This window comes from Homo sapiens, chromosome 4, assembly GCF_000001405.40.
Source record: "Homo sapiens chromosome 4, GRCh38.p14 Primary Assembly".
NCBI classification, from domain to species: Eukaryota; Metazoa; Chordata; class Mammalia; order Primates; family Hominidae; genus Homo; species Homo sapiens.
The window spans coordinates 118,828,035-118,848,257 of NC_000004.12; the positions used below are offsets into that span (position 1 = coordinate 118,828,035).

The window sequence follows — 20,223 nt, forward strand, 5'->3', positions numbered from 1 at the left end:
TGATCCACCTATATAAGCTCACTATTAGGAGCCCTATCACCACCCCACAGCCCCTGTTCTAGGTTCAGGACATTAATACTTTTTTTTTTTTTGAGACAGAATCTCGCTCAGTCTCCCAGGCTGGAGTGCAATGGTGCAATCTCAGCTCACTGCAAGCTCCGCCTCCCAGGTTCACGCCATTCTCCTGCCTCAGCCTCCCGAGTAGCTGGGACCACAGGCGCCTGCCACTACGCCCGGCTAATTTATTTGCGTTTTTAGTAGAGACGGCGTTTCACCATGTTAGCCAGGGTGGTCTTGATCTCCTGACCTCGTGATCTGCCCATCTCAGCCTCCCAAAGTGCTAGGATTACAGGCGTGAGCCACCGCACCCGGCCTTACATTAATACTTCTTAACTCTCAGTCTCCAGACCAGTGTCCTCAAGCAAGGGCGATTTTGCCCCTAAAATAGGACATCTGGCAATGTTTGGGACATTTTTGGTTGCCACAACTCCCAGAAGGTTGGGGGAGGTACTACTGGCATCCAGTGGATAGAGACCAAAGATGCTACTAAATATCCCACAATGCACAGGATGGCACTCTGTTACCCTCCCCCAACGAAGAATTAATTGGCCCCAAATGTCAATAGTGCTGAAGCTGAAAAACCCTGCTGCAGAGAGCAGTATGCCCAGCTGTAATTCCTTCTCCACACTTAGTAATGTTCTATGTAGCTTTCTAAACTGTACATACATTGGATTGTGACCCTTCCCAGACTAAATCACTTCAGTGGTACTCTACTGCCCTTACAATAAAGTCTAAATTCCTTAAAATGATCCCACATTCCCCCGCCAATGGCATCTCTCACCGTTCCCATGCTATTCCCCAGCTATGCCAAATGTCTTGCAGGTCCTGAAAAGTACCGCCTTCCAATCCCAGCAAACTGCTTCCCGACCTGGCCAATTCTCACTCATGTTTCAGGGCATTCCCTCCGGGAAGGAGCCCTTCCACCCTAAGTCTTGTTTAGGTGCCCCTGCCACGTGCTTCCATACCACCCTCTACTTCCTTTACAATAGTACTTCCCCACAAAATTGTCATTGTTAATTTCTTTAGTGCATTTCTCACTAGCTAAGTAAATACTATGAGGACTGAGATTAGGCTTATTTTATTAAGTGTCATATTACCACAATTATTTTGTTCATCAAATAAATTGTTAAATTTGTGGCTGGGTGCAGTGGCTCATGTTTGTAATTTCAGCACTTTGGGAGGCCAAGGCAGGAGGATGGCTTGAGGCCAGGAGATCGAGACAGAACTGGGCAACATAGTGAGACCCCATCTCTACAAAAAATTTTAAAATTAGCTGGGCATGGTGGGCACACCTATAATCCTGGCCACTTGGGAAGCTGGGGCAGGAGGATCATTTGAGCCCAGGAGTTCAAGGCTGCAGTGAGCTATAATTTCGTCACTGCAATCCAGCCTGAGTAACAGAGCAAGACCTTGTCTCTTTAAAAAAAAGTGTTAGGGGCCAGGCGCGGTGGCTCATGCCTATAATCCCAGCACTTTGAGAGGCCGAGGCGGGTGGATTACCTGAGGTCGGGAGTTTGAGACCAGCCTGACCAACACAGAGAAACCCCGTCTCTACTAAAAATACAAAATTAGCCGGGTGTGGTGGCGCATGCCTGTAATCTCAGCTACTCAGGAGGCTGAGGCAGGAAAATCGCTTGAACCTGGGAGGCGGAGGTTGCAGTGAGCCGAGATCGTGCCATTGCACTCCAGCCTGGGTAATAAGAGCGAAACTCCGTCTCAAAAAAAAAAAAGTGTTAGTATACAGCACTAGCTTTACAAAAACACAATGAATAAGCATAAATGGAGATACGATAATGTGAGCAACACAAAGCAAGAGTTAGCACTGGCCAGATCTACAGTGGAATAGATACTTCAAAGAACCACAATAAGTTTGCTTGTGTCTGTCAGGAGACCAATAAAAGCGTCACTAAAAGGCTAGACAAGAAGACACAGGAAGACTGAAGATTAAGGTATCTAAGGTTATTCAGCAGAATATAATCAGAGATATAAGAGCTGGAGTAATTTAGTGAAAGTCTTAAATAATTAAACCAAAACACCACAATATGCATAGAAAGATATATTTGCAGAGAGTATAATAGCCTGGTTATTCACCTGATATTTAATAGCCATTAAGTAAGGAGAAAGCAGTTTAAACTAAAGCATGAAGGATTTAATCCAACAAAGACAGCTTTTAAAAACACTGGTAAGGCCAGGTGCCGAGGCTAACGCCTATAATCTCAGCACTTTGCGAGGCCAAGGCGAGAGGATCACTTGAGCTGAGGAGTTCAAGACCAGCCTGGGAAACATAGGGAGATCCCATCTCTACCAGCTACTTGGAAGCTAGGCAACAGAGCAAAACCCTGTCTCAAATAAATTAATTAATTTAATTTAATTAAATATTGGTAAATACCAGAGTGTTTTGCTAATGAGTGCTACAGTTTGTCATCCACTTCATTGAATAAACATTTATAATTAGCTCAATTTAACCATTCCACAGTGTATACATATTTCAAAACAATATGTTGTACATTATATATATATGTATATATAATTTTTTATTTGCCAATTAAAATTTTTTTTTTTAAAAACAGCCATGAGTGCCTTCTCTGCTCCAGGAACATCTACTATAGGAACATCTATTATAACACAGTATGGCAAATAGTATAGAGGCCTGAAAAAGTATTAGAATACAAAAGAATTCAAATTAGATTTGCATGGTATAAAAAAATCCCTCTGGCTCAGGAGTTGATGGTTTGGAAAAAGACAGTATTGGAGAGAGGGATAATAGTTACAAGATCATTTTAGTAATCCATGTGAGAGATGGATGGATTGAACAAAAAGAGTGACAGGAGAATGGAAAGGAGAAAGCAGGTAGGAAAGCTGTTTACAATCACTCCAAAAAGATTTGGGAGACCGATTACATTGGAGGAGATAAAAAGGAGGGAGAGGTTTTTTTGCTTGTTTGTTTGAGAGAGTCTCACTCTGTTCCCCAGGCTGGAGTGCAGTGGCGTGATCTTGGCTCACTGCAACCTCCATCTCCCTGGTTCAAGCGATTCTCATGCCTTAGCCTCCCAAATAGCTGAGATTACAAGCATGTGCCACCATGCCCAGCTAATTTTTATCTTCTATTTTTTTAGTAGAGACCGGGATTCACCATGTTGGCCAGGCTGGTCTCAAACTCCGGGCCTCAAGTGATCCACTTGTCTTGGTCTCCCAAAGTGTTAGGATTACAGGTGTGAGCCACCACACCCCACCAAGTTTTGTTTTTTTGTTTTTTTAATAAAGTTTCTGGTATGGATCACGAAATAAATGATGCTAATGAGTGAGATTTGAAATGCCAGAAAACATAGGCTTCCATGATGAATATGGAATTGTTTTGGGCATGGTGACTGTGACGTGCCTCAACAAAGGTGGGCAACTGGAAATATGGGTCTAGAGCAAGCTTTTCCAACCCACGGCCCACACGCAGCCCAGGACAGCTTTGAATATGGCCCAACACAAATTTGAAAACTTTTTTAATCCATTATGAGATTTTTTTGATTTTTTTTTTTTTTAGCTCATCAGCTATTGTTAGTGTATTTTATGTGTGGCCCATGACAATTCTTCTCCCAGTGTGGCCCAGGAAAGCCAAAAGACTGGATACCCCTGGTCTAGAGCTTAGGGGAGGCATCTGGGCTGGAGAAATAGATCTGAGAGACAAGCACTTTCTGTGAATGATCCAGCTTAGGGAAAAATCTACAGAGTGGGATAACAGTAGTGAAGATGGAACATGGAGGGAGAAACAGCAACACTTAAGAGTCATGTAGAAGAATTCCTTCAAAAGAAATGTCCAGAAAGCAACCCAAAAAAATGGGCACAATGGCTCACACCTATAATTCCAGCACCTTGGGAGGTGGAGGCGGGTGGATCACGTGAGGTCAGGAGTTCGAGACCAACCTGGCCAACATTGTGAAACCCCGTCTCTACTAAAAATACAAAAATTACCCAGGCATGGTGGCGGGCGCCTGTAATCCCAGCTACTCAGGAGGCTGAGGCAGGAGAATCACTAGAACCCAGGAGGCTGAGGCAGGAGAATCACTAGAACCCAGGAGGCGGAGGTTGCAGTGAGCTGAGATCGCAAAACTGCACCCCAACCTGGTCGACAGAGGGAGACTCCACCTCAAAAGACAACAACAAAAGGATAGTGTCATTGAAACCAAAGGAGAAAAGAGTTTTGTAAAAATGAGAGTGGTAAACAGAGTCAAATACAAAAGAGGACAGACAGCACAATGTCTACTGCATTGAGAAATAGGACACTGATAGTCCTGGTGAGGGAAGTGAAAGTGTGGATGGGGTGGCAAACTATGGAGTGTAAACTATGCTGAGCCATGGAGGGAAGGAGAGGTAAAGGTGGAGATTACCAAGCATAGTGAGTACTTTCTCAAGAAGATGCCTGTGAAGAGGGAAGGGTGAATAATATAGAGTGTTATACTTAGGTGTGTATGCAATTTGTTTTTTGCCTTCTTGAGAGATCTGGGTATGAATCCTGGTGCTACTACTTGCTGTCTGTGACCTTAGACAAGTCACATGACACCAGACATTCAGTTTTCCTAGCTGCAAAAATAACTTACTGCATAGCATTGTATGAGGATTAAATAAGACAATACAGGAAAAGCTTTTAGGGCCAGATTTCGACACATCATAAAAAGGAATAATTTATAATTATCATTATAAATAAATGCTGAGGAGAAATGAACCACCAGTTAGAAACTGAAGGGGTTAATGGTTTCTACAGGATCCAGTAAGGCAAGATTACAAACATTCTGGAGAGGATGGTCCTGAACAAGAAGAGGGATGCTTCATCTGGACATCTTTAAAATCTCGGGAAGAATAAATCATAAGACTGACTTTCCACAGGAAATTCACAATCTCAGAGCATCTTCTGCAGCACACTGTGTGTGGCTGCTAACATCAAGCCTCACTAAAGGGAGTCCTCACCCCTTGCTGATTCTGCACTATATACATTCTACCTAGCACAGCCTGGATCCCAGATATCTAAGCTAGTTCCAGTGAGCCCTGAGAGTTACTCATTGATTTATACATGGTCCATTTGTACAAAGAATTGTACAAAGAATTATCCTCACATGATGTACAGATTTATCTAGGGCCAATCCTAGATAAGGATATGTGAATTTAATTCATTTATAAATTTAATTCTTTTTTTATTCAATGTTTACAATAGCCTTACACCACTAATTAACAGCAAGAACAAGACTCACAGTAAAAATAAAACAGGAAGTGTTTGTTTTAGTCTATATTTAAAAACCAAACTTGTATTGCATGCAATAACCAAACTAGTGATGTAGAGTTCTGCTATGAGAGCCTTTTCCAAATGATCCTGTAATCTCAAGCCATTTCATTATATAATGATCATTCAATGCTTTCAAATCTCCTCTTTCAGAACATCTTATGTCTCTGAGCCTGAGAACTGAATAATCACATACAAGTCAAAATAACACACTGTACCTGTTGGAGATGCTGTGTGCGACGGATCCCCATAGTGCCCATAATGAGGTGGAGAAAGGCCTATTCCAGGCTGAGGCTGAGAATACGGAGGTGTAGCCACGTAACCTTGTTGACTCATTATGAAAATATCATTCCATAGGATAATTCTACAAAAGAAGTCTGCAACAGAGAAACAAGAAACATGTTACCAAGACAGTTTTAGTTACGTAAAGCTATTAAAAATATAAACACTGTTATTACATGTTTATGATGGTTTGAGGAAAAGTACAGATATCAGGTACATGAGAAATCTTTGTATTATACAATATATCATTATCCCCTAAAAAGGGCCTAACCATAGCTCTCTGAAACTCAGTAAATCACTTCAATAATCCTGGGCAAATTCTCAAGCATGAGACCTGAATAATAACTCGCAACCACTTTTTTAATGGAAGCCTGAAGCATCTCACAGATAGTCTCTCATAGTGTTCCTATGATTTTGTGCTTTTGGTTTCCATGGTCACATTTCAGCACAGAGCACACCATGCCATTCAATTGACTGACCACCATAACTGCCAGTAGCCTGCAATCAGATGTTTTATGACTTACGTCTTTTTAGTGCTCATCTAATTAATTATTTTAATCTAGTCATTAGGACAAAGAGAAATCATAGTCCAACAAACATAGCAACAGACAACGTTGATAATGGGCTTATTTTATGAGTCATAATTTGACCGAGCCAGGTGGTCACTATAACCACTTGAGTGTTGTCAGTGGTTTTTCAAAGGCGACAGAATTTCTTTCTAATTTAAATCATATCACATCTCTAAGAACATATGCACCTATATTTAGGGGACTAAGGAAAAAAAGTGTAATTTTGTAAGTGTGTAGGCACACACATCACAAATATAACAGACTCATCTTGATTTTTTTTAAATCTTGATTCTAATCAGAACCCAAATTTGCTTTAAATTTTCTATTTTTTCCAGGTTTTAACAAAATAAGAGATATTTCATAGGACTGATGATTTAAAAAAAAAAATTAAATACGACAGAAAATGCTTTGAATGCAAGAGAAGTGGGTTTCCATTCTATGTCTGCCATACTTAACTGTGTGACATGGAATGAGCTGAAGAACCTCTCTAAGCCTCAGTTCCTTCTTTTAGAAAATGAAGCCTTTCCAGATTTCCACTGATTCTACAATTTATCTCCAGTTTATTTGCCCCATACAAGCATATTCTTCCTTTTGTTCTTTTATTTGCTACAATTTAAGATAAGAGATCAGTGATACCTGCTAAGACTTAGAATCTGTCTATATTCAAGAAATAACATTTCAAATTAAAAATTTGAAGCCTAAAATTTGTGATTTGATTTTGTTTCCATATTAAACTATAAGTTTCCAAAATAAAAGCAACCATGTAAAAATATTATGAGATCATTTCCTTCTCCTGGGAAGGGGAGAACTGAAAAAGAGGAGAGAGGCAGGCAAAGGCCTTCTGGTCCACTTTGTTTCTGACAACCCCTTTTTCCTCCTCCCACTTAGCAGAGAGAGACGTGGCAGCCTGAGCGCTGGTCAAGCTCATCCAACCAAGAGCACTTAGGAAGTCGGCACGAACACACCTAAGTAGCAGCCTGTTGCTGAGTGACAGAAAAGAGAGGCTGAGATGGTCACTCCAAAGAACAGGAAGCAGCCAGTTCCCTCTGAACTGGTCCTCAGAGGAATCAGCTTCCTCACGCAACCCAGTTTGCCACGTCAAACTTCCTCACACAGAGCACCAAGTTAAAGAAACCTGACTCAGCTTCAAGCGGCGACACGGCAGAAAGCCACTTGGTATAAGCAGGCCTAGGATCAAAATCTGGGGAGCCCCAACCCCAGAACGGCCCCCTGGCTCACTGTCACCCAGCAACTCTAGCCAAGGTGCACTTCTAACCCTGGAACAAGTTCGTATTTGGCCAGATCAGTTTCACTATTCGGATGTCCCGAGGCTTCAAGATATAGTTGCCATTTTTACCATGAATATTTCTAACATTTCCTTCCTTCAAAAAAGGAAATTAAGTTGATAAGGAGATGAGAAAACCGCTGGCAATGACACTCGAATGGTGGCCACTGAGGATCCTAACAAGGCAGTTCCTGCATCCCAAGGCAAAAGGTGGGGGCGGGTAAAAAATGCCCACGCCCACCTCCTGCTCCCCCATCCCGCCGGCCCCACTATTAAACTGCACTAGAAGGCTAAAGAACAAAGAATGAGTTCTCCTCCCGCCGCCACTGCCTCAGGTGAGCACCCGGCCTCCCGCCGCGTCCCCGGGCCGGGCGCCGCAACCCGCTCCGCTGTGCCTGGGCAGGGCTGTCCCGCATGAAGGCGTCCGCGGGTGGGAGGCTTTACCTGTTCCCGCTCCCGCACCCCGCGGGCTTCCGAGCGCTGGCGGCTCTGCGCCTAGTGCCGGCAGCCCTCGGTGGCCGGGCTCCCGCTGCGGTCGCTTCTCCCGCCGCGCCTCTTCCCCGGCCGGCGTCCCCTTAGCCTGGACTCACGCTCGGAGTTGCAGCTGGGCTGGGAACTGCCACGTCAAACCCTTTCTCGGCTGCGCGCCCCCAGCGCCGGGCTTGGACCAGCCGCCGCGCTCCCGCCTGCGCACGCGCACAGCCACCGGCCGCCGCGGGGCGGGGCCACCGGGCTGAGCCTGCGAGCGGCCGAGCGACCTCCCCCTTTTCGCTTTTTCCCTTTTTCCGGTTTTTTGTTTTTTGGTTTTCTTTTTCCCGTCTTTTCTTTCCCCTCCCCCTACAGGTCAAAGCCTTTAACGTCGTGGCTAAATCAGAACCGTATTTTCTCGGCGCAGCCCCGCAGGAAGGAGGGGAGCGCGTTCATTCATTCTTCCATCAACAGGTTGCAGTTTCAGCTCTTCATTCATTACGTATTACTTAAATAACTAATAGTTCAGGTACTGCACTACCGTTACATACGGGAAAGTACACGATCTGGACCTAGGGGAGATTACCGTTTAAAGGCGAATCTGGCACGTGTACACGCACATTTGATGACGTACCCGTGCAATGCACTACAGAGGAAGGAACGCCCAAAGCAGCCTGGCAACGTGTAACGCGGGAGGAGTGGGGGGTGGGGGAGATGTCCCAAAGGAAAAGTGTGGGAAGTGGGGTTTCCATTGATATTGGGGTTGTTAGCGTTGTGTATACTCCTTCTTCCGCATATTCCTTGTTTGTGAAGTAGGATGGCTGATCCCAGCCCCAAACAGGAATCTCTGCATGGAAAAGCACCCAGCGTTTAGCTCACCGTCCTGTGAGAAACAGCTCAGAAATAAAGGCAACCTATATGAGATCTGGAGCTTACCTCTCTATCTCACCCTAAAATCAGGACCATCTGGCTGGTTTCCTATCATCTTTCACTGCTAAATAGAAAGACATTCAGCCACTCCCAGGTTTGGTATAGCTACCACTTTGCTCAAACTTACAAAGTAAAAACCAGCCCGGTGTTGTTGTTTTTAACATGCACTTTCTTCCCGGCTACAAGAAAGCCACTTGACAAATACCTTTACTGATGAACTGCCTAGGTAAAAACGTACATGGGGATGTTGCTACTCCCGAAATGCTACATGAATTGTGCAGGAATTTTAAGTCATTTTAGCAGTAAAGATATATGGTCCATTTATCCCACTCTTAAAAGTTTTTAAGGCATGGGGCAAGGCACAGTGGCTCACACCTGTTATCCCAGCACTTTGGGAGGCCAAGCAGGGAGGATTGCTTGAGGCCAGGAGGCAGTGAGCTATGATCACACCACTGCGTTCCAGCGTGGGCAACAGAGTGAGACCCTGTCTCAAGAAAAAGAAAAAAAGATTTTAAGGTAAGATATCTGGCCTACATCCAGCTTCAACACTGATCAGGTTTGAAAACCCACATTGAAATTTTTGTTTTAAATTGTTTCTTGTATTCTCAATGTGATGAAAATGTTCAGTGGAAGTTTAGGAAGTTTTGGCCGGTGTTGAAGCAGTACAGCTTGTAAAAGCAGTGAAAGAACTTGTCATATAACAGCTACATTACAAGGAGCGAGTGAAGCTATGATACAAAGATAGGAGAGAGTAAAGTCAGAAACAGTCACACCATGTGATGACCTGCTTGACTTGTTACCCCTATAAAACCACTACTTTTGAATTGTAAATACATCCTCACCTCCTGCTCAGGTACCAAACTTGTCTGAAACCAGGACAATTTGTGGTTTCAATTCTAAAACAGTTTTTAATTCCTAAATGTTAAAGCTGGAAGGGACTTGGCCGGGCGCGGTGGCTCACGCCCGTAATCACAGCACTTTGGGAGGCCGAGGCGGGCGGATCACGAGGTCAGGAGATCGTAGACCATCCTGGCTAACACGGTGAAACCCCGTCTCTACTAAAAATACAAAAAATTAGCCGGGCATGGTGGCGGGCACCTGTAGTCCCAGCTACTCGGGAGGCTGAGGCAGGAGAATGGTGTGAACCCGGGAGGCAGAGCTTGCAGTGAGCAGAGATCACGCCACTGCACTCCAGCCTGGGCGACACAGCCAGACTCTGTCTCAAAAAAACAAAAAATAAAATCTGGAAGGGACTTTAGCGATATGAGTATTCAATTCAATATTCAGTGAGAACTGAATTCAATTTAATCATCTAATGGATTAATAGAAAGGTTTATTGAGAAAATTTAAAAGGCTTACTAGTCATTTATAGCTAGTTGGAAGTCATCCCTTCCAATTCCAAAGCTCTTTTCACCTCCCTATGCTTTTTACCTTCTGATACTCTGATTTGCTGTTCTCTTTTAACTAGTTCTGCCTTTTTCTCCTGTGACTGCCTTATATTCAAGTTCTCAAATAACTATTAACTGACTGCATAGTTCCACCAACAATTGGAGTTACTTATCATGAATCTCTTTTTTAAATGAAACGGGCTTCTGGTTTGCGTCCTGCTTCTCTTGTCCTGTCCCCAAGTGCCTATGCCTTAGGTGACTAACTCCTAACCTTGTTCCTGTGATTGAGTCCCTGGCCCTCACCAGCCGTGAGGCTTGGTCCGGAGTCTCAGTCTTCCTTGATCTGACCCATCCTGTTGCCACCTGAGCTTAGCCTCTGATGTTCCATATGTAATTAACTTAGTTTCCCAGGTAACCATATCCTATTTGAAAGGTGAGGTCACAAGGACCTCACAATGCCGACGTACTGGGGTTTTATGTTCTATGTTCCAACTTTAAAAGGGAAAGAAAGCAACAAGTCTACTATGCATAAGGCTATATATAGAGAGAAGGAATTTCCTGACAATGCTTAAGATTTCTTCTAATTGGCAACCTTTTGAAGGTTATGATGTACTAAGCATTTATGTAACTTACAAAGTTTGGAGGTTTCTGGTTCCAAAGCTGAAAACAGCTTGAAGAAGCTTTATTTAAAAAAAAAAAAATTGAAGTGGCCAAATCCTGGACTATTTTAAATACCTGGAAATGGAGTAAATAAGGTCAAGTTAAACGGGGATGATGGGAAGGGTACATGGTAGGGTAGGCTGAGTAGCAACTAATAACAGTAATAATAGAGTTCAAGTAATACCCAAGGTGCTTCTAGAATTACTTTTTTGATATCTCAAATATCATGCTGTAAGTATACTACATCACATACAGCTTCAATCACAAAATGGACAGTGGGACATCACACTGCTAACTCAGATTGACTCAGGTTTGAATCCTGACACTGTCACTTACTACTAGCTGTGCAAGTTTTACTTATTCAACAAACGTTTATTAAACACCTACTATAAACTGGATACTGTACTAAGAACTTGAATACAAAGTCAGATGAGACACTGCCCTGGCTGTGAGAAGCTCATGGAATAGTGCAAGGATCAGCCAGTGGCAGCTGATATGCTATATTTGGCCTACCCACCTGTTTTTGTACAGCCTTCGAGCTAAGAATGGCATTTACAGTTTTACATGGTTGAAATTTTTTTTAATATTTTGTGACACATGAAAATTATGTGAAATTCAAATTTCAGTGGACATAAATAAGTTCTCTTGGAACACAGCCATGCTTTTCTATTATCATATATTCTGTGGTTGTTTTTGTACTATAAAGGTAGAGTTAAGTAGTTGTGACAGAGACCATAAGGCCTGTAAAACCTAAAATATATACTATCTGGCCGTTTACAGAAAAAAGTTTGGTGCCCCCTGGTCTGGCAGGATGTGCAATTACAATATAGTTCATTTTCATTCCATGAAGAGACACAGGTTGCCATGAGAACATGTAAGAAGGGACACTTAACCCAGATTTGGAAAGTGAGTGACATCTCCCTGGTGGAGGTGGCACCTGAGCTGAGGACCTGAGGACAGTAATAAGGCCAAAAAAAAGGCTGAAGGGCAGCAGGGAATAGCATGAATGAGTTGAGGAAGATGAGGAACATAGGGCATTCAGAGGGGCTATAAGTCCTGTACAGCTTGGACATGGGTTTCTAAAGCAAACGAGATTAGGCAGGTAGGCTAGGGTAGCTCATGGATCCCTCAAAGGCACTGGAAAGGCAATGGAACAATTTAAGCATGGGAATGACACAGTGGATTGTTTTTTTCTTTCCAGAAAGATCAGTCTGGAGTTAGTGAAAGAGTGGAAGAGAGGAAAAGGCAAGACTGGTGGGGTAAAGAAGAGTTAGGACACTGTCAGCAATAATCCAGATGAGAATATGGTGGCCTAAGCAAAGGCAGTGGAGATGTGGGTGGAGAGGACAGACAGGTGGGAAAGAGGTTTAGAAGGCGTATCAATGGGACTGGGTACAGAAATCAGGAAAGTGAGGCAGAATACAGACAAACACTCAGATTTTTGATCTGTGAGAATTAGTGGATGAATGGTAGAGCTATATAAGGGGTGAGGGAAACAAAAACGAGAGCCGATATGGGGAGGGGATGGGTTCAGTTTTGGAGAAGTTCATTTTGAGCTATCTGTGGGACATCTACGTGGAAGTGTCCAGTCACCTGTGAGATACGTGTGTCTGCAGCTAGGAGACAAATCTGAACTGGAGGTAGTATAAGGCAGCCAGCAATGAAAATTTAAAAATCAATCTGGCAGGCAAGAGATCAATCAGGCTCTGCAGTCAGACCAAGTCATGACTTCTGGTTCTGTCCTTTATAAGCTGTGTGTACCCTCCCTAAACCTCAGTATTTTTATCTTTAAAAATTGAAGGAATAATAATAATAATCTCAAAGGTCGTTGTGGGGATTAAATGAGATAATACAAGTAAATCACTCAGCACAATGTTTGGCACATAACAACTGATCAATAACGTTACCATTGTAGCATCATCATCCCAATCATTATTAACAACATGTAAGTGACAGTTGAAGCCATATGAGTAAAGTCAAAGGATGAAACCCCTGGGAACCTAGAATAGATGCATGTTCTAAGTTTACTAAACCTTGGTTTACTCACTGTAAATTAGGAATATTATATTTCTCTCATTGTCATGGAGTAAAAAGGGTTATGGAACAAAGTAAAAGTAGACCAGGGTAAAAAGCACTGGGAATGCTGAGCTGGTGATCAGCAGTATTATACGGGGTAGGTAGGCAGGGCTCTTGGGGCCAGGAAGTAGTGCCACTCAGCTCTCCTTTCAATATAACCTGCTCTGAGGAATATAAGTGGCTGACAACCTTCAGCTTCTACCCCTTTGGAGCTGCTAAGGCACTTAGCCCAAAGCCACTCTCTCAGCAGCCCCTAGCCAAAGACTGCACTTGGTGGGGTTAATGAAGTCAGCATTTTTCCTAACATGGGACACCTCTAGAGGGATATCTTTTCTCTGGGGTTCTCTTTGCCCTGGCCAAGACTTTCTCAGAGCTGCACTGCAATCTGAGGTTCATCCTACCTCATCCTCCTTCCTGCCCTCTCTTTTTCACAGGTGTCAGATCTGCACGCACCAGAAGTCTCTCTCTCCTCCTCTTGCTTCCTAGCTCATCAGTTCTTATAGGTGTTCCTCTCAATAAATCTCTTACGTATCTCATTCCATGTTGTTGTCTGCTTTTCATCTGACCTGGCCTGACAGCCTCATGGAGAAGGTGAGATTTGAACAAAGCTTTGGAGGAGGTAAAGGAGTTAGCAATGCAGATCATCTGGGGCGGGGAAGGGAATTCAGGCAGAAGAGAGAGCCCCCAAAAGTTCCTATGTCAGGAAGTAGGTGTCTGGCATGTTTCAGGAGTAGAAGGATGCCACAGAGTCTGGAGCAGAGGAAATGAGGGGAAGGTTGTAGGAGAGGAGGGCCTAGAGGTTAGGGGGTAGGCAGATAGTATAGGATCCTTAGGCTATTTTAAAGTTTGGTTTTTAATTTGAATGAAAAAGGAGTCCTTACAGGTTTTGAACTGAGGAATGACATGATTTGACTCACTTTCCAATTTTTTTTACTGATATGGGAGGCAGGTGTTCAGAACAATATTTATTTTTACAGTCGCAGTGAGATTTCAGGCCTCAGAAATGTATTCTGTAATCGTTTGCTTTCACACAGGTTTTCTTGGTCATGGCCAAGATTTGAGAACAGCAAGTGTTTTGGAGCCTCCTGCACTATAAAAGCAGGTAGAAAATTGAATTCTGACTGCTGCACGACCACAGTTCTGTATTCATACTCACCCCTCACTCCCACCACATTCCTGGTGACTTGAAAGATTTTCCAATTGATGAAGTGAGTAAGATGTGATTCAATGTTTTCATTGCACTGATTTTCTTGAGTGATCTAAGGAGACAAGTAAGCTAGTAGTATTGAACTGAGAAATTAAAAGCCCCTGACTCATCATAATAACAGGAAGAGGTAAAAACCGTACTAACAATCTAATTGAAGTCAGTGCCTGAATATGTGATCATTAGTAGGAAGAAATGATGTTCCTTCGATTTTTTTCCTCAAATCTACTTATGTGATTACCTAGAAAATAATGCAATACTGTATTGTTGCATAAATAAGAAATATCAGAAATTTGGATTTTGGAATATTGTATATGTGGCAGAGACTGGACATTTTTCTGGAATATCCATTATTCTGAGTGTGTGGCTGGTGTGTGGATGTCCGGCCTCCCCTGTAGCTGGTTGTAGCTTTATGGCTCACAGAGCACAGTGGACATAATATGTGCAACTTATTTGTCTCATCTTTAAAAGTCGCTTCCTGAGTCTTTCATTTTCTGCAAGCTAGAATGAAGACATGGTAGTAGTAAAGCCAAATTAACCCTCCAGGTGAGGATAATGCTCTAGGGTTGATGGCAAGAAATAATGAACCCTGGTCTCTGGTTGTCTTCATAACCAGGGCCACCTACCCCTCTTGAACCCTGTGTCTACCTCTGAGCTGGTATATGAGAGAAAAAGAAACTCTATGGAGTTTGAGCCACTGACTTGGGGTGGGGGAAGAATCTTTTACAGCAAATTAGCATATTTTAAAAATTAATATATTTTAAAAATTAAGAGAGATACTTGTAAATTGTACCAGTCAGAGAGCATCTACCACAAGAAACAATCCAATAACACATCATAATCTACTAGAGTAAGAAGAGGACTATGGATAAAACTGAATTAGCCACAAAGAGGGGAAAACATAGACTGTTTGGTGACTTTATTGTTTTAATGGAGTTGTTCAGTAAAAACACACCCCGATGTTTAAGTGTGGAGTTTTCTTTTGAAAAGAGCTGATGTTCCCATTGTTAATCACAATGGATACTGTTTCACTGGCCAAGAATGAAGGTGACTTTTCGGATTGAGAAAGGAGAGGCTCCCCTTCCTCTTCCTCCAAGGTCTAAACGTTGAGTCTAGACTGAGAGATACTGAGAAGTCTGCAACTGTGCCACTTGAGAGAGTTACATCTCAAGAGTTAATCTCAGCCACAGGAAGACAGGTCACAAGCCAGTGCTTGTGTTTGCGGCAGCAGTGAGGCTGGGAGCCCATTTCTAGGCCAGCCCCATGTGTCAGCGCCCTTCAGCCCCACTGGGGCAGTTCTGAGTTCCATCACCACTAACAAGAATCAAGAGCAACTCTTTGATCCCGAGGGGCAGGGTTCTCTCTCGTTTTAGACCTGAGGAGTGGAGGAGATGCAGATGGCAGAGCATGGTGGCAAGATCTGGCTAGAGTGGACAAATCTGAGGATTGCACTCAGAAATAGCCACAATTCAGTCCCTGGAGAACCTTCAGAAACCACTGTGTCACCCTGAAGTGGGGACTGAATTCAGTGAACAGACAGGACCTTGTCCCATCGTATATATATATATCACTAGCAGATAGTATCATATTGACTTCTGAGAACACACTTTTTAGATTTCAGTTTTCAAGATTTGTTTCCAGGTTGAAATTTTTCTCAATTAATGCAAGAGAAGAGTTAACATTTGTTCTGGTGACTACTATAAAGAAAAGCTATGAAAGTCAAATCAATATAGTATTGCCATCAAGATAAAAATATTAAGAAAACAGATTAGCATTATAGAAATAGATCCACATATATATAAATTGATTTTTGGCACAGGTATAAACAGACTTTTCTTGTCTCTTTAACAAATTGTGCTGGAACAATTAGGTATACACAGGCAAAAAAAAAAAAAAAGAATCTCAATCCCTACCTTGCACCATATAACAGAATTAATTCAAAATAAAGTACAGACCTAAATGAAAAATCTAGAACTCTAAAATCAAGATCACATCACAAAGACTTTCTCCTTTTTTCCTGGATACTTCTAAGTTCCAAGAGGATCAAAAGCATATGTCCATAAATAGGCCAAGCGTGGGGGCTCATGCCTGTAATCCTAGCACTTTGGGAGGCCGAGGTGGGCGGATCACCTGAGGTCAGAAGTTCGAGACCAGCCTGGCCAATGTGGTGAAACCTCGTCTCTACTAAAAATACAAAAATTAGCTAGCCGTGGTGGTGCACACCTGTAATCCCAGCTACTCAGGAGGCTGAGGCAGGAGAATCACTTGAATCCAAGAGGTGGAGGTTGCAGTGAGCCGAGATTGCACATTGCACTCTTGCCTAGGCAACAGAGTGAGTGAGACTCCATCTAAAAAAAAAAAAGTTTATGTTCATAAGTAGATTCATATACAAATGGTTACAATAGCTTTATTTATAATAACCAAAAACTGAAATTAACCCTAATGTCTATGAACAGGTGAATAAACAAATTGTGGTATATCCTGACAAAGGAATATTCAGCAACGAAAAGAAATGAACTACTGGTACATGCAGCAAATAAATAAATCTCACAATAATGTTGAATGAAAGAAGCCAGACATACAAAGAATATATGATTTTATTTACATAAATTTCAAGAAAATGCAAACTGATCTATAGTGACATAAGGTAGATCAGTAGTTGCATGGAACATGGAACTGAGGAGAGGGCAGAGAGAGGTGGGTGAGGGGCACTATAAAGAAGAAGGGGATACTTTGGGGTGATGGATATGTTCATTATCTAGATTGGTTTTACAGGTGTGTATATGTATATATACATATATCAAAATGTATCAAATTGTATATTTTAAATATGTACAGTTAATTGTATTTTAGTAGATTTCAATAAAGTTGTTAACTTTTTTTATTGAATTTATGATTTTTTATAGAGGCTTGATGTATTTGTGATATTAAGATTTCTAGACCCAGAACATAACCTGGTTTTTTTTTTGTTGTTGTTTTTTGTTTTTTTTGCCTTTGGGCCCTTCAATAAGTTAGGTGTTTTTGTTTTTTAAGGTATAGGTCCTGTCTTTTTTAACCTATTTTTTTACTATTATGTTTTATGTGAATCTGCTTTTTTCCATTTCTATTTCTAGTGTTTATTACCAGTAAAGAAATTTCTAAATAAATATGAGTGATCAAATTATCAAATTATCTTTCTTATTTTATTACTTTAAAATTGCAATTTTGGGGTTTTCTAGATATACAGCAACCTCATCAGCATTGCATTTTTTTTCTTATTGCACCTGCAAGAAACTCCAAAATAATATTGATTAATAAACTTGCTGTTGAACATTTCTCTCTGATTGTGCTTTTAAAGGAAATGACTTTAGCATATACATTTAGAATAATATTTTAATGTATCAGCCCTACTGTGCCATGATATCTGATTAAACACAATTTCTGGGTTTGTTTTTGATTGTTTTTGGAAGAGAATAGCATTTGAATTGATGGAATGAGTAAAGTAGGTATCCTTCCCCAATGTGGGTGGGCCTCATCCAATCAGTTGAGAGCCTGAATAGAACAAAAAGGTAGAAGAAAGTTGAATTCCCTCTCTAACTGACTACTGAGCTGAAACATTAATCTGCCATCTGCACTTTTGTTCCCAGGAGAATCCTGACTAGTGTAAGTAGTGGGCATGGCAAATACAGAAACAGCTGTTCTGGCTTGCTTGCTTTCCTTTAGTAGAGAGTAGAAAGCTAAAACTACATTTTCCAGAATTCCTTGCATTAAGGCTTTTAAAACTTCATTGATTTTTTTTCTGTATTTTCCAAATTTTCTACAATTAACCCATAATTCACTTACTCAAGTACATATTGCTGGCAAGTGGCTGAGCCAAGTATACCCAACCAGATCTGTTGAACCCTTGATCCCTAAACTATTGCAATGAGAGTGCAATAGAGAGTGCAATAGAGTCCAATGAGAGTGTTGGCTTCACACTGGATTTATTTCCATATTGCAACTGCATTAAATTTCTAAATTTTATTTGCATCATCTATTTTATCTGGAAATTCTAGTGAAGAGGACAGCCCAGCATACATGCTGGTTCTTGTCTTTTAGTGAACTTATGTATGTACCCTTGGCTTTGCTACTTTTAGCTCTATTTACTTGTGAGAAATACTACATGTTGCTATTACTGTGATCTCTTTTGTTCCTCTGTTATGAAGGAAGCTACTCATTTGTTGAGGGGAGCAATTTCAATATGTCAGAAGCTGATTTTGCCCCTCCCTACTCTTACTCTTTTAGGTGTGCCTCTTTACCTGGAGCTAATGTGCCATGCAAGAGTGGCTGTCAACTTAACATCACCTAGAATTCACAGGATAATTAAGTGTCAGAGCTGTAGCCTCAAACATCATTCTAGCCCAATACTTTCATTCAGATAGTCAGACTCATAGTGCCATGAATTTTGGAAGAGCTGGGACTAGAACCTAAATCTCAATTTGCACTCCAGTGGCTTTTTATGATTCCAAACTTTATCCACATTTTCCGTACTTTACTTTCATTCAAAAGCCTCTTTTAAGAGTTTAATTTCAAATTATAACTGCATGTTAAGATGATACTTTGAAACCAACTTTAAAAAACAGAATAAGCTTCTTAAAAAAGTATATACACACACACACACACACACACACACACACACTTATATATATATTAAAATGCCCCCACCTCCACCCACACACACGGACACACACAGACACAACTCAGGGAGGGGAGGGGAGAGAAGGGAAGAAAGGAAGGGAAAGTCTTCCATTTATGGCTTGCTTTACCCAACACTGTACAGTCCTTGATAACCTGAGGATTTGGCTCTCAGCTTCTGCCTTTCTAGGCTCTATGCCTTCTTTCTGTGGCTGGGATCCACTGTTTCCAAGTAATCCAAAGGAAGGTGCAAAAGTGCTTTTGTAGCCTGATGCTTTAACTATAAAAGCCAGTTCTTCTGCCTCCAGATTTCAGCTTTAACATCTCATCTTTGCATAAAGTAGGAACAAAGTGTCTCTGAGTGGGGAGTAGAAGTTGGAAAACCAAACTGTTCTCCTTAGATAGGATGATTTTACCATTTACACCTTCAGAGAGGCGAGACAGCCTCCTTCCTCCTGTTCCTGAGGCTGAGAGCTATCTTTCCCATTTAAATATAGTACTAATACCTTTTCCTCTACTCTCCCTACCATACTTTCAAATCATTTGTTACTCCCACTAAACTGACCATACAGCTTACAATAAAACAATATTTTAAACAGAAAAATAAGTGGAAAAATTCTAGTTTATCAGAGATCTCATCACTTCTACATAAAACTTTGCTTCAATAAGTTTGTTTTTTTGTTTGTTTTTTGAGACAGGTTTCACTCTATTACCCAGGCTGGAGTGCAGTGGGGAGATCATGGCTCACTGTAGCTTCAAACTCCCAGGCTCAAGCTGTCCTCTTACCTCAGTCTCCCAAGCAGATGGGACCACAGGTGCCCACCACCTTGCCTGGCTAATTTTTTTTTTTTTTTTTTTTTTGTGGAGATGGGGGTCTCACTATGTTGCCCAGGCTGGTCTCAAACTCCTGGGCTCAAATAATCCTCCTGCCTCAGTCTCCCAAAATGCTGGAATTACAGGCATGAACCACCACATCCAGCCTTCAGCAAGTCTTAATATTTTTTATTCTTAATATTAAGGACCCTAACTTTTATATTCCTATATAGTCTCCACAGATGTTGACTAATTTCTCAGATGATTTTCACATCTCTTTCTTTCTTCTGTAATTTCTGTCTTGTTTTCTTATTTCTTGTCTTCCTCTACTAGTCCTTTTAAAAAAATCAGCTCCCTGCTTTCATGAATATAGTGCTTACAAGTTACTGAAAAGCATCATGACCATAACAAGCTTACTAGAAATCCAATGTCACTGAATCCTCCCAGTAGCAAATAAATGATGCCTCCCCTGCCTTTGTGATTATTGTTTCTGCTCTTAGGATGAATGGATAGACATGGAGTCTTTATATATAGAAGTATCATTCATCATTTCTAAAAGTAAGATAATA

At 41.6% G+C, this 20,223-nt stretch overlaps 1 protein-coding gene across 2 annotated transcripts in view, besides 3 other annotated features; it reads right to left on the reverse strand.

Moving 5' to 3' along the window:
- The window catches only part of SEC24D (SEC24 homolog D, COPII component), a 113,304-nt gene extending 105,212 nt beyond the window's left edge, over window positions 1–8,092 (reverse strand). For both annotated transcript variants that reach the window (NM_014822.4, NM_001318066.2), the window contains exons 1-2: window positions 7,907–8,092; window positions 5,545–5,703 (exon numbers count right to left, since the gene is read on the reverse strand). In NM_014822.4, the coding sequence (NP_055637.2) occupies window positions 5,545–5,662 (118 nt within the window). In that variant the 5' untranslated portion in view covers window positions 5,663–5,703; window positions 7,907–8,092. The remainder of the gene's footprint in view (window positions 1–5,544; window positions 5,704–7,906) is intronic.
- Window positions 7,448–8,339: an enhancer, noted in NCBI's record as "H3K27ac hESC enhancer chr4:119756637-119757528 (GRCh37/hg19 assembly coordinates)". NCBI's record gives its function as "activates a minimal SCP1, AML or CMV promoter by ChIP-STARR-seq in primed H9 embryonic stem cells {active_cell/tissue: H9 hESC(primed)}" and the evidence as "EXISTENCE:reporter gene assay evidence [ECO:0000049][PMID:30033119]".
- Window positions 7,766–8,255: a silencer, noted in NCBI's record as "silent region_15652". NCBI's record gives its function as "represses an Ori minimal core promoter by ATAC-STARR-seq in GM12878 lymphoblastoid cells {active_cell/tissue: GM12878}" and the evidence as "EXISTENCE:reporter gene assay evidence [ECO:0000049][PMID:35858748]".
- Window positions 7,960–8,254: an enhancer, noted in NCBI's record as "tiled region #11880; HepG2 Activating DNase unmatched - State 1:Tss". NCBI's record gives its function as "activates a minimal TATA promoter and a strong SV40 promoter by Sharpr-MPRA in HepG2 cells {active_cell/tissue: HepG2}" and the evidence as "EXISTENCE:reporter gene assay evidence [ECO:0000049][PMID:27701403]".